Source organism: Homo sapiens, chromosome 3, assembly GCF_000001405.40.
Source record: "Homo sapiens chromosome 3, GRCh38.p14 Primary Assembly".
Taxonomy (NCBI): Eukaryota; Metazoa; Chordata; class Mammalia; order Primates; family Hominidae; genus Homo; species Homo sapiens.
In genome coordinates this window covers 59,438,496-59,451,579 of record NC_000003.12, presented here as the reverse complement: position 1 = coordinate 59,451,579, position 13,084 = coordinate 59,438,496, and the positions used below count along the sequence as shown (strand labels likewise).

The 13,084-nt window shown below is 42.0% G+C and overlaps 1 long non-coding RNA gene across 1 annotated transcript in view, besides 1 other annotated feature; it reads right to left on the bottom strand.

Annotated features, from left to right (window-relative positions):
- The window catches only part of CFAP20DC-DT (CFAP20DC divergent transcript), a 724,471-nt gene that overhangs the window by 359,731 nt on the left and 351,656 nt on the right, over positions 1-13,084 (bottom strand). The window lies entirely within an intron of this gene.
- Positions 7,211-7,260: an enhancer, noted in NCBI's record as "active region_20016". NCBI's record gives its function as "activates an Ori minimal core promoter by ATAC-STARR-seq in GM12878 lymphoblastoid cells {active_cell/tissue: GM12878}" and the evidence as "EXISTENCE:reporter gene assay evidence [ECO:0000049][PMID:35858748]".

The window sequence follows — 13,084 nt, the reverse complement described above, 5'->3', positions numbered from 1 at the left end:
CATCGTTTAAGCCAGGATGTGGCTTGGTGACAGCTAACTCTGACTCTGGTCGCTTTGCCAGAACAGCTTTCAGCTGTTTCACGTGATTTCACAAACCCTTGAACTGCAGAGTTATTTCACACCTGCAGAGGTAATGAATGCCTTTTGAGAACATTTGCAAAGTTGGTTGGCAAAAGTCAAAGAAACCAGTGGAACACAAGCTCTCCAGAGGCCTTTTTCCTGTTCCACACGTGCTGTGCCTCAGTGAGTAGAGGGAGGCCGTCAAATGGAGTGACTACAAGTTCACAAATAAATTGTCTTCTTTACCAGTGAGTCAGTGTACCTCAATCTCATCAGAATAGAAAAACAAAAATGAAAGAACCTCAGATTTCATGGTAGTGGCAAGATACAGGGCTGAATGTCCTGCCTGCAGATGTGGGGCCCCTGTTCATAGACTGCCATGTCATCTAGCACATAAGCAAACAATGTACAAATGCCTGTGTATACTTGTTACAATTCATGCCAGGAATTTACCTCCTGGGTATGTGAAGTGTCTGTGTTTCAGGGAGTGGAGATTTCTGATCTCTCCCTCTCCTGCTACTTCCCATTCATCTTTTAACTCAGAAGCTGTAACTCTCCAGATACAGAGATGCCAGTATCCCACTTTGCATATTCCGAGAAAAAGAGCAGCCCAGACATAATTCAGAAATTCATAATCAGCATGGCCACAAATAAAATTTTAAAAGTCATTTCTTGTGAACATTTCATGGTGGTGGATTCCTCCGCATATAAAAGGACTATGTCCCATAGGAATTTATTAGTAGTCTAAGAAGGATTCTATGAATAAATTATACAAACTGTGGAAAATGTGTCAAAAAGGATAGAACTATTTGCTCAAAAATTCTGGTAAATAGACTTAAACCATGCGCATTACGTGGGGATTACCCATTCAGAGAGAATTTATTTATTCAGAAAATGTTTATTGCTAGGCACACCCAGTATAGACAGGTGAACACCACAGTTTTGGTTCCTGCCTCATGGAGTTTACCGTCTAGTTGGAGAGGTGGTTGGTGAACAGACGAACAAATATAAAAACAAACATGGACAGTGCTGAGATACAGCAGAGTGATGACAAGAGATTCAGAGCCCTTTCTTGTACTGAAACATGCAAATTTTCTCATTGATTGCTTGTTAATGTTTTATAGGACTCTTTAGGGTACAGCAGGGGGCCTCAAGTATCTTGAGAATAATAGTCATTGTTCTAAGTGGCAGTGAATAGAGAATTCCAGGGAATATGTGATTAGATACTTACAATGTCAAATCAACCTAACCAAATACCTTCCATAGAAGTGTCTGGAGAGGCAGGTGAGATAGCATAAAAAGTGAGCTTGGGTGGCAAGTAGACCTGGATCTGGATTCCACCTGCACTATTCATCCGTTGGGTGACCTTGGGCAAAGAACTTGAACTCTCTAGGCCTCAGGGTCTTAGGGTGTTAAAGGGGAAAACTGTACCTACATCAGATGGTTCTTGTCAGAAAGAGCTAATAAGTCATATACTATCTGTTCAATTCTGCTCACACAAAGTAGATGTTTAAAGAGGCAGCTGTGATTTTTATTGAGGAAATTCAGTCTCTCCCTCTTACAAAGGGGCAGCACAAAGTATAGCCATGGGCTTCCATGAAGACAGGCTCTTTCTGGAAAGCCAGAATAGGGACTCTTCTTGTCCTCTCCACCCTCCTCCCCTTGAAATGAAGGTATATCTAGTCACCCAAGATGAAAGACCCAAAGCAATCCCACCAACTAATACTTTTCTGCCCTCTGGTAATTTTAAAAATAGTAGTTACTTCTACAATGTCCCCTGGGTTATAAATTACCTGCCTTTGATCAAGATAAAAAGATGAGTCACATTAATGTGCCTGCTGGAAATTGTCTTAAGGCAGGAATGATAGCCTATTTTTAATAAAGCTTACAACAACCACCATCCCTAAATTGGGTCTGTGGTGTTATGCACACACAATGGACTCAATGCAGTAAACATCTGTTGAGAACCTACATAATCCTCTGTGTTTCTAGACAAGAAAATGTTTCAAGAACAGAATCTTAGTAGAGCGTACATATGAGTTTCTGGGGTGGACTTGTCCTCAGGCTGTGGCAGTCCCTGTTTGCTCGGAACCCCTTCCAGCTCCTTCCACAGCTCCTCCTCTGGTGTGTTTACTGTGTATTTTCCTTCCAGCTTGTTTACAATCACAGCCCTGGCACCTGGAAGATTTTCCGTGTGAGTTGAACCTAGATGGTCCCAAGCAAATACGAATCTTGCCTGTATTTAGAGATCCAATGTCTAGACTTCCATAAGCTGATAGCCACTCCCCTCACAACCACCACTGATACATACTGAGCACTTATTTTGTGATGGGCACCATTACAAACCTTTGTAGGCAGTATTTTGACTCCTCACAAACCTCTGAGAAAAGTATATGGAGAGAACAAACCCATTTTACAGCTAAGGAAATTAAGGCTCAGAAGTGCTGTGTTTGCTGAAAGTGAATGATCAGAGCTGTGAGTACAGCCTGACTTGCCTTTTAACCATTCTCCTCTACTGCCCCTCACGGAGGCCATCTCCCAGGGAAGGATGTTCTTAACAACTAGGGCACTTTCATCACAAACTGTAAACCAGTGGCTGCTATACAATTATGTGTGTGTGCAAGTAAATTATTGATGGGGACTCTCGAGCTCATACCTCTCTTGAAAAGGGTGTAGTCTCAAAGGGTTTCTATAGTTTTCTTCAGGTAGTAAGCTCCCTGGGCCTAGGAATCAGGTTATTTCGTGTATCACTATCTATTCAGCACCTAGCATGCACCCAGTACTTTGTAGGTTTAATCATTATGTGTTAAATGAATAAATGAATGCGTGGGGCTTTGGTATAATCCAAGAGAAAAGTCACGATTATAAAACAAGCTAGAACAGGATGACCTCCACAGAGTAAGGGCCATGGGGTGTCAGAGATGGATTAAAGAGGCCAAAGGTCACTGGGCACAGTGGCTCATGCCTGTAATCCCAGCACTTTGGGAGGCCAAGGGGGGCGGATCACAAGGTCAGGAGATCGAGACCATCCTGGCCACCGTGGTGAAACCTCGTCTCTACTAAAAATACAAGAAAATTAGCCAGGTGTGGTGGCACGCACCTGTAGTCCCAGCTACTTGGGAGGCTGAGGCAGGGGAATCACTCAAACCCAGGAGGCTGTAGTTGCAGTGACCCAAGATTGTGCCATTGCACTCCTGGCAACAGAGCAAGACTCCATCTCAAAAAGAAAGAGGCCAAAGGTCTATGTGCAAGGTTCCAAGGTGAGGCTCAGCCAGGGGCCTGGGCAAGTCTGACCCTCTGCCACCCTGCACCCCATGGGAGACATGGAGGGAATGATACCCAGAGTTTGGGGGAGGTCAAGACAATATTAAGAGTGCCAAGCATATTAGTGTTGGCTTCAGGGAGAAGGCAACATCAGAACCGTGACCAGATTTAATGAGGAGATGGAGGAGGTATTCTTTCTAAGCAGAATAAATGGTCTAAATACAGACGAAAGTTGGGAAATTACGGGGCAAGAACAGGAAATAGCATGGTTATTTGTCGGTAAGCAAGAGTGTGTGGAAGGAAATAGGATGGGAAAGTTGAGTGGCACTCCAGTCCAGCTTGAATCCTACACAAAGAATGGTGGGGTTTATTCCATAGAAAGATATTCTCCAGATTGGGGAACACACGTGTTACTCACTGGTGTACATGCATGGTGCAAGGTGGTACAGAGACCGCCTACCTATCAATTCCCCTTCAATCTTTGATGAAGCCAAGGAGAAAGTCTCAGTTGATGTGGGTCTATCTATAACAACTAATCCATGATAATTATACTAGTCAGGGTCTCCACAGGAGAGGTATGACCTATCAAAGCAGGATAATCCAAGTGGGTGTCATAAAGGGACAATCAGCTAAGTATGGGTACAGGGGAACCACAAGGGCAACACACTGACCCAGGGCTTGTAAAGGGAGAGCTGTCACCATTTCCAGGCTTGAAGGGACAAGGGGAGGGTTTAAGAACAAGCCATGTTAAAATGGGCAGCAATCTTTTGTCAGGGGATACTGCCAGGCTGTGGTGACCCTGCAGGGAGAGAGGCAGGGAACAAAGCCCTGGACCCATCGTTCCCTCCTTCCTAGACTCTGCTGGGCTGCCATAGGCTGAGGCCAGCTGGAAACCAGAAAGTAAGGGAACTCACTGACCTGTCCTCGGGCTCAGCCTCCTGGGCAGACAACAAGAAGAAGAGAGAAAAATAGATCTGGAGGGACAAACAGTCACTGAATCATCACCCACCTTTGTAAACACAGAGAAATCAGGCTTCAGGCTTTGAGCCTCAGGCAACACTATCTTGCTGGAAGATAATACTTTTGTTTTCATTGCATTTATTTTTATAGTTTCTATTATGATAGATGGTACTGGTTTTCCATTTACTTAGAGATAAAGTTTCCCTTTAGAATACATTTAAGATTTTTTTTTAAGTGAGCCTATTTAAAGATAAATATGAAGTAAACCACAGCACAGATGGAAAGGGAAAATAGCAAAGATAATGGAGGTGGTATGACTAATGTTTGGGAAAGCCTCATAGAAAACAGGGAGCTATGGACAGGTTTTGAGCAGGAGAGCGATAGGATCAAGGCTCTGCTCTGGGAAGCTAAACGTAGCTGCAGCATATACAATAGACAGCAGGGAGATGGGAGGTAGGGAGGCCGTAGGCAGTGCCAGTGGGGCTAGAGAGGTGGGGATGCAGGGGAGAGGATTACGGGAGAAAGAGTAAAATCAACAATATTTAGTCAGTCATTGCATGGAGGGTAAGCAAGATGCAAAGCAAAAGATAATAACTGCTGCCCAAATTGCCTTTAAAAACATCTATTTCCAGGAGTATTAGAACTGATGCAGGAAATAATGTGACAGCAATCCAAGTCTACTAACAGGTAGAGTGTTTATGTCATTCATCTCCTACGAGGTCGTCCGTGATGAAAGGAAAACACAAACATTTATCTAATGTATGCCTATGCCTGATGTTTCTCCAGACAGCTGAGCTTGTTTTTCAGATTTGTAGCAGAAAAATTGGGAAGGTCAACCAGGCTTGGCATAGAACACCAGGAGGGCAATTTTCATGCCTTGGATCAGCACCATAGAGGAGTTTTTATAATGTTTTTATAGTACACAGATACTCTGGATATTTATTTAGAGCTCTGAAATAAGTCAGGAGATCTATTTCCTGAAAAGCTATTTAGTTAGAAAAATGAAGTCAAATGGACATAAGTGTCACATAAAAATAATTTGCAACTAGAGGTTAGAAATAGTAAGAGCATAACAAGATTGAAACAAAGCTTTGGCCCAGTAAGGATTCTGAAACTAGTTGCTCGCCTTATCTCGGACTTAAAAAAAAATTACATACACACACAACAAATGAATTTCTAGACCATGCCTCACTTGTATGAAAATTACTTTCAATTAAATGCTCAAGTTCTGGTTCCACGAGAGTTTTAACTATCATGTTTTCAAATGAACCAGTGATTCACAGGCATTGAGGGAAGGAAGAAACTGATCAGATGATCAAGTCTGTCCCAGAAGATATCCAAGCAAGTGTTCCCTGCAGTTTATTTTCAATCACTTTGTTCAGTTCTGGTTTAAAATGACTCCAGCAACGGGACTCTTCATCAATCTAAGAGGCCCATGGGAGTCCTTTCTCAGTCTAAGAGTCCTCATTTTAGAAAAAATATTCTGATATGAAATCTTGTTGTACCACTTGCCTCTCCCAGTGGAACCCCTCTTTTTCCCTGCATTTAGGCCCTTCAGCCCCTCCAGTTGTCAGAAGTGGCAGTATCTTTTCTCATCAGTTACTCTTTCCTTCCCCTTCATCATTTTTTATTCTTTTTCATCTGAAGAGTTTTGTGCTTTTGCCTGCTTCTCTGTGATTGTTCCCTATCAGCACAGGAGCTGACGGCTCTGACAAGGCTGCATTTCAATGGAGGTGCTAAAGCCTGGCTATGTGGCCTCATGGCCTTCAGCTACAGTCCAGAATGATACTTCCAGAACCCTGAGAATTTGAGACCTAGCTAATCCCCTGAGTGACCAGATACTTGCCTGGTGGCTAGGGCCTGCCATGTAAACTGCCCATAACCAAGGCTCAATGAAGAGTTGTGGTCAATGTGGTAGACGTCCCTACCTCTCCAAGATAAAGAAGACAATGAAAAGGTGGCTGTGTATTTTTGCACGTTCAGAAGCATAAAAAGGAATGCAGAATCAGGAATCATCCGATTCCACACGTAACCACTCAGCCTCTGGATCTCAATTTCCACATTTGCTAAAAGAAGGAGCTGGACTGCATGAGATCTCAGGGCAATTTATGCATTAAGACTCTGGAGCACAGTTCCAATTTGAAGAAGTAACAGCAATACCTTCTGCCAGATTTAGGTGTCCAGTGAAAACACAGATGCCCAGTTAAATCTGAATTTCAGAGAAATGAATGTCACAGTGTAAGTATACCTGCAATATGTGGGACATATTTATCCTAAAAAATGACTGTTTATTGGAGATCCAAATTTAGATGAATGTCCTGTTTTTCTCTGGCAATCCTACCCTCCCTTCCACCTTCAAATTGTCTTGGCAGATGGATGGCATCTAGGCAGCTGAGTGGTTGTCTGATCCTTATAACCTCTTACCCCATTGTCCTAATATAGCTTCCAAGGCTTGGCTGAAGCTTGTCAGGTATTTCCAAATACGTGCATGCTTACTTGCTTCTCAATGCTCCTTAGCAGTCCAAATATGATCAAATGAGTGAAAATATTTTGAGGTATAAAGTTCTATACACGTGCATTGTTAATATTAATCACAAAAGCCTGCACTAAAATGTGAAGACAAAGGTGATAATAAGTCTACAGTTCCTAGACTGCAGTTCTGTACAACTAAAAACCAGCCTGTCTTTTGAGATTCTAGCACTCTCCACAACAGGCCCCCACATCTCAGCTTTAACAGCAATAAAACCACTCCTTTACTTGTTGACTATTTCCTGGGTGCCAGGCACTGTGCTGGGAACTTTACATGCATTACATCATTTAATAATGAAACACTCACTCCTATCAAAATGAAACTGTCATTTTACAGATGAAAAGATAGGCCCAAGAGGCAAAGTGACTTATTTGAGTTCACACAGCTCATCTAACAGAATAGAACGGCCACAAAAGGATTTTCACAGACCCTGACAAACTGATTTTAAAATTTATATCTGAAAGCAAAGGCTGAAATATACCAAGAAACTCCAAGAGAGAAACAAGCCAGGAGACTTGCCTCAGCAGGTAACAGGGCTTATTTTAAAGCTATAATAATGAAGACAGTGTGGTATTTGGAAAGAGGCAAACAAAGAGACAAATGGAACAGAAGACAGAGTCTGAAAACACACCCGTGCCTGTCGTGGAAACCTGACTCACGACAGGGCTACGTGCAGAGCTGTGGACCAAGAAGGAGCAGTTCAGCAGTGTGTTATCCATATAGATAGTTGAAATTTCCTCAAACGAAACCCAAAGTTCAAGTCCATATGGATCAAGACTGTAAGCATAAAAGACAAAACTTTCAAACTTCTGGACAAAAGACAACACTTTCATCACCTCAGTGTAGAGAAGGTTTTAAGCACAATGCAAAAAAGCACTAAGAAAGATTAATCAAATGGGGCTATGTTCAAGTGAAGCACTCCTGCACATAAAAAGAAGCCACAAAAAAGTGAGAGCATAAGCTACAATTTAGAAGAAAATCTAATTGTCAAAGGAGAAGCCTCTAGACATGTATTGATCAATACAGTCGTCATGTGGCTGGTGAGCAACTGAAATGTGACTGGCACAGAATAAGATCTGCCATGAGTATAACATACACATTAAATTTCAAAGACTTCATTAATAATTTTATATTGATAATTTTAGGTACATTTGGATAAAGTTTAGTGACATAAAATAATGAATTATTAAAACCAGTTTTATTAGTTTATTTTTACTTCTTTAATGTAGCTACTAGGAAATTTTAAATTATATGTGGCTTGCGTTATATTTCTGTTGGACAGCAAGGATCTAGAATATGTGAAGAGCTCCTATTAGTGAATAACAAAGAATAAAACACAATATAAGAAAAAAGGAAAAAGTTCATAGAAAGGCTTTCTACAGAAAAAGAAACATATATATCCAACACGAGAAGGTGTTCAAGCTTATGACCAATTTATTTGCAAACTAACATTGTAATAAAATATCCTTTGTACCATCAGTTAGTAAACCATAATAAATCCAACAATATCCAATATTGGCAAGAGTATGAAGCAGTGGGAACTCTCACTCACTGCTGGTGGGAGTAAAAATCGGTACAACCACTTCAGGAAACAATTTGGCATTGGGCAGTAAAAACTGAACATATATACAAACTGTGAGCTGGCAAGCTCAATCCTAGATATCTACCTGAGAGAACTCTTGTACATGTATGACACAAGACATGCACAGCACTGCTGAAAACTGGAAATGACCCTGGTTTCCACCAACAATAGTGTGGGTAACCCAACTGTGGTATATTTATATGATGAAAAGCTATACAGAATGTTAAAAAAGAATGAACTGGCGCTACACACAGCTCTACAATTTTAGAGCTATGTAAAGATATGTATCTCTTAAAACAAAATGACTACATAAAATTCAGAGGTACTCCTTGCTGGGGAGGGAGGGAGACAGCATGCCTGGGGAAGGATATCAGAACAGAATCCCTGGGAACAGAACGCACGGGTCATGTTCTAGTTCTTAAACTGGGTGGTGGGTCCACAGGTGCTTGTATTTTTTTTAATTAATTTATCTGATTTTAAGTTCTGGGATACATGTGTAGGATGTGCAGGTTTGTTACATAGGTAAACGTTTTTTTCTAAATTAAACTGTAAATATAAACTGTAAATGCTTGTTTTAAAGTATGATATTTCACAATTTAAAGAGTTTAAAAAAGAAAAACAAAACTGTGTTGTCTATTTGTGTGATATTACATTCCGCCAGAAAAGTTGCCTTTCATTCATCTTTTAATAATGACATCTCTCAGTGCTGGTCTGTCTTCTACAACTGGGCTTTTTTCTCATATCCCATCAGATGAGATCTCCAGATTCATATATCACATCTACATATATACACATGCACAATATAAACAGCATACTTGGAAAAGCAATACAAGGAGGCTTGCTGTTCTTGTGCCTTGACTCATCTCACTCACTTTCCCTGGGGACAGCAGAGACCTAAGGGAAGCAGGGCCTCATTCCCATGTGGTCGCCGAGATTAGAAGCCCTGTGCAGTGCATGAGGTGGGGGAGCTCAGTGTCTTGTCTTCACTCTCCAGCGTCCTCAGTCCAATCCTCTTTGTCTTCCCTATTTGAGCTTTTCTCAGAGTTAATGAGCGGTAATTGGAGACGCCCTTGAAAAAGAATTGCAGCCTCTTGCCCGTAGTCTTAGAGAAGCACAAGAAAATAAAAGGGCACAGACTTACTGACATATGCTTGGAGTGGCCAGGTTCTCATAGATGATTCTGTGGCTCTCAATCCATACTGAGGCAAGGCATCAGAAAAATAAGTTTAATCAACCTGATAACTGGACCTACATCCTGGGTCCGAACACAATTATATTTCTTTAAAAGAGATCAAACCATTCTAGAGGATATTTTCCCCAAGTTTTATTTATCCCTTCCCCTTAAAAATGCCGAACTGAATCCCCCAGTGGAAATGTTCTGAGTATCAAGTGTGCTCATCTCTCATAGAACAAAAATAAACCTATATTGATATTTGTGCTCTCATGTTCATTGCAGCATTATTCACAATAGCCAAGATATGGAAACAACCTAAGCGTCCATTGGCAGATGATGGATAAATATGGTACATTTACACAATTGAATACGATTCAGCCTTTGAAAAGAAGGAAAACCTGCCACATTTGCAACAAGGATGAACCTGGAGGACGTCATGCTAAGTGAAATAAGCCAGGCACAGAAAGGCAAATACTGCCTGATCTTACTCATATGTAGAAGCTTAAAAAAATAAAATAAAAAGTAGAACTCATGGTAACAGAGTAGAATTGTGGTTACTAGGGACTAGAATGAGAGGAAAGGGGAGATGTTGGTCAAGAAGTATAAACTTTCATTTACAAGTTATAAGCTTGACGACTATAGTTAATAATAACATATTGTATATTTGAAATTTGCTGAGATCTCAACTGTTCTAATCACACACACATAAATGGCAGCTATGAGAGGTAATAGATGTGTTAATTAGCTTGATTGTGGTAATTTTACAATGTATATGTATATCAAAACATCACGTTAAACATCATAAATTATACCATTTTTATTTACTAATAATATCTCAATAAAAGCGGAAAAAAATAAGCCTGTATTAGTTTCGTGGGGTTTGTGTGTTTATTTATTTTTTTTTTTTTTAATTCTGGCACCTGCAGCACTTGTAAGCCATCTTTGTCTTACAATTATTATTCACTCCACCTGAGGGCACCTGAGGGTTTTCCTGAGCAAAATTTCTCTTAGCAAGCTGAGCTTGTGGGGTCTGCTAATCTCATCGATCCTAGGCAGCCTCTGCCACAAGACCCTGGGCTCTGTCTTCTCTGAGTGAGCCCCAACTCCAAGACATGATGAATCAATACACAAACCGTTATTCTCACTGTGGAGCGGAACAATTACTAAAATCTATTTGCCAGTAAATGTGCCTTGTCTTGTAAATCACTGGGTCATTAACCTTAACAATTGCAGTGTGCCGTCTCTATCCAACTCAGTTAAAGCACAGACCAAGGTAATACTTAAGAATACATTTCAGGCAAAGGAATATACTATTATAGTATTATATCCTCATAAATTAAACAATACATTTATTCCCCTTCTTGGAAAAGGAACACTGCCTGACAAGCACAGTACAGAGAAGAAACAAAGGCAATGATTCTAATTAATAACTCAAGAGGACTAGACAGGAGAAGAGAACAAAAATTTGAAGACAGAAGCAAGTCACCCACAGCCTCCACTCCCTCCCTCCAGCACTGCTGCAGAATTTCTGGTTTGCGCACATGGTGCACTCAGACCCTTAGTGGCTTGAGCTGTACCTTGTGAAATGGAGATGCCTGGATTGTACCACAGGGCAAAAACAGTCCACTGCTTATTCCCAGTCTGACACTACTGTAGCTAAAAAGTTTGATGCCCACAAGTAGAAAGCTCTAGGGTCCTGGCACTGATTCTCTACAGTCAGGGAGGCGTCCCGCTATTTCACATACATTTTGAGAGCAAGTCAAGGAAAGCTCCCCTTGGAGTGTCCTCTGTTTCCTGTTTTAGGGGTAGGTACAGAGTAAGCAAGATAAAATGAAAACAGGGAACATGTCTCAAGATTATGTGTCTACTTGGTTTTCTCTGGGCAAAACTCTGTCATGAGATTAGATAATACAACCTGTATATTCCTGTTCTTCCCAAGGGGCTCAAAATGAAGCTGCTCTTCCAGCTTCTTCCTCCCAGAATTCCTCCCACCTAGGCCACTTTCTAACCAGCTACTAACCAGCACATTTTCATTCATAAGATGTATTCGTTACCTATTGCTATCATAACAAATGGCTACAAACTTAGTGGCTAAAAACACCACAAACATATTATCTCACAGTTCTATAGGGCAGAGGCACAACGCAGGTCTCACTAGGCTAAAATCAACGTGTTAGCAGGGCTGTCTGCACTCATTTCTGGAGGCTCTAGAGGAGACCCTGTTCCCTTGCTCATTCACGTTGCTGGCAGAATTCAGTTCCTTATAATTTTAGGGCTGAACTCCTTGTTTCCTCGCTGTCAGCTGCAGCCTATTCCCAGCTGCTAGAGGCCACCTGCACTTCTAAGCTCCTGGCCCCTAGTTCTGAAAACCGGCCACAGACAGCCGAGTCCCTCTCAAGCCCCCAATCTCTCCTGCCTCTCCTTACCTGATGGCCTCTCTCTAAATTTAGCCAGGGAAGATTTTCTGCCTTCAAGGTTTTATCTGATTAGATTGGGTCCACCTAGATAATCCAGGGTAATCTCCTCCACTTTCAGACCCATAACCTTAACCATAGCTGCAAAATGCCCTTTGCCCTGTAGGTAACATCGTCCTAGGTCCCAGGGTTTAGGGTATGGCATCTCTTTTGGGGGATGTGGGGGAAAGGGAGTGGAATTACCTAGCCTACCACATAAGAACAGTGCTCATACTAGGTGGGCTACCGCTAAAGACGGAAGAACCAGGGAAACCTGGCCGTCTCCTTCCTTTCCTTTCCTATCTCCTTCCCAACACTTCCATTGTCTACTTTGAGAGCAAAGTTTGGCCACTCACCATATTCCCATTTTCAGAAAGACGGCCTGGTTGCAAGACTGCTCTCGTTGGCCACGAAACGCAGCCTGTGTCTACTTGGTATTCTTCGGGCAAAACTTTTTTTCAACATCTACCCAGCATCCCAAGCATTCGTCTGCATATGGCTCACCTGGGGGAACACGTTTTCATTCAGAATCTTGTTCTGATGTCCTGCAGTTGGAAACTGAGTTCACCTGGTAGTCAACAAACTGAGTGAAGGCTGGGAAGCTCCATGCCACCTGGCACCCAGCAGGCCGGGAGCAATTCAGGTACGAGTGGTCCAAGAGGGATCTCGGACTTCAGCCTTAGCAAATAACCCTGGATCCAGAGGCTCTCCAGACCCCTCCTTCTTCTTCCTTTGTGGCCACAAGAGACTCCTTTCTTCACAGCAGCCAGGCCTGTTGTTTCTAGCCCAACACTTCCCTGAGGAAGGCCCTAAGGCAAAGTTCTCGCTCAAGATGCCATGACATTATATAGTCATGAACACCACTCTCTTTGGGGTCAGCCGAAGGTTGTGTGATCTTGGGCAATTTCCTCCTTGAGGCCCCAGTTTCTCATCTATCAGATGGGAATAATAACAGTAATTACCCCGAAGGCAGTTTCAAGGATTCCCAGAGATGCTTTCTGCAAGGCTCTGAGCACAGTGCTAAAGCTTAAGCCCAGGGAAGGTGAGCCGTTTGGGGATCA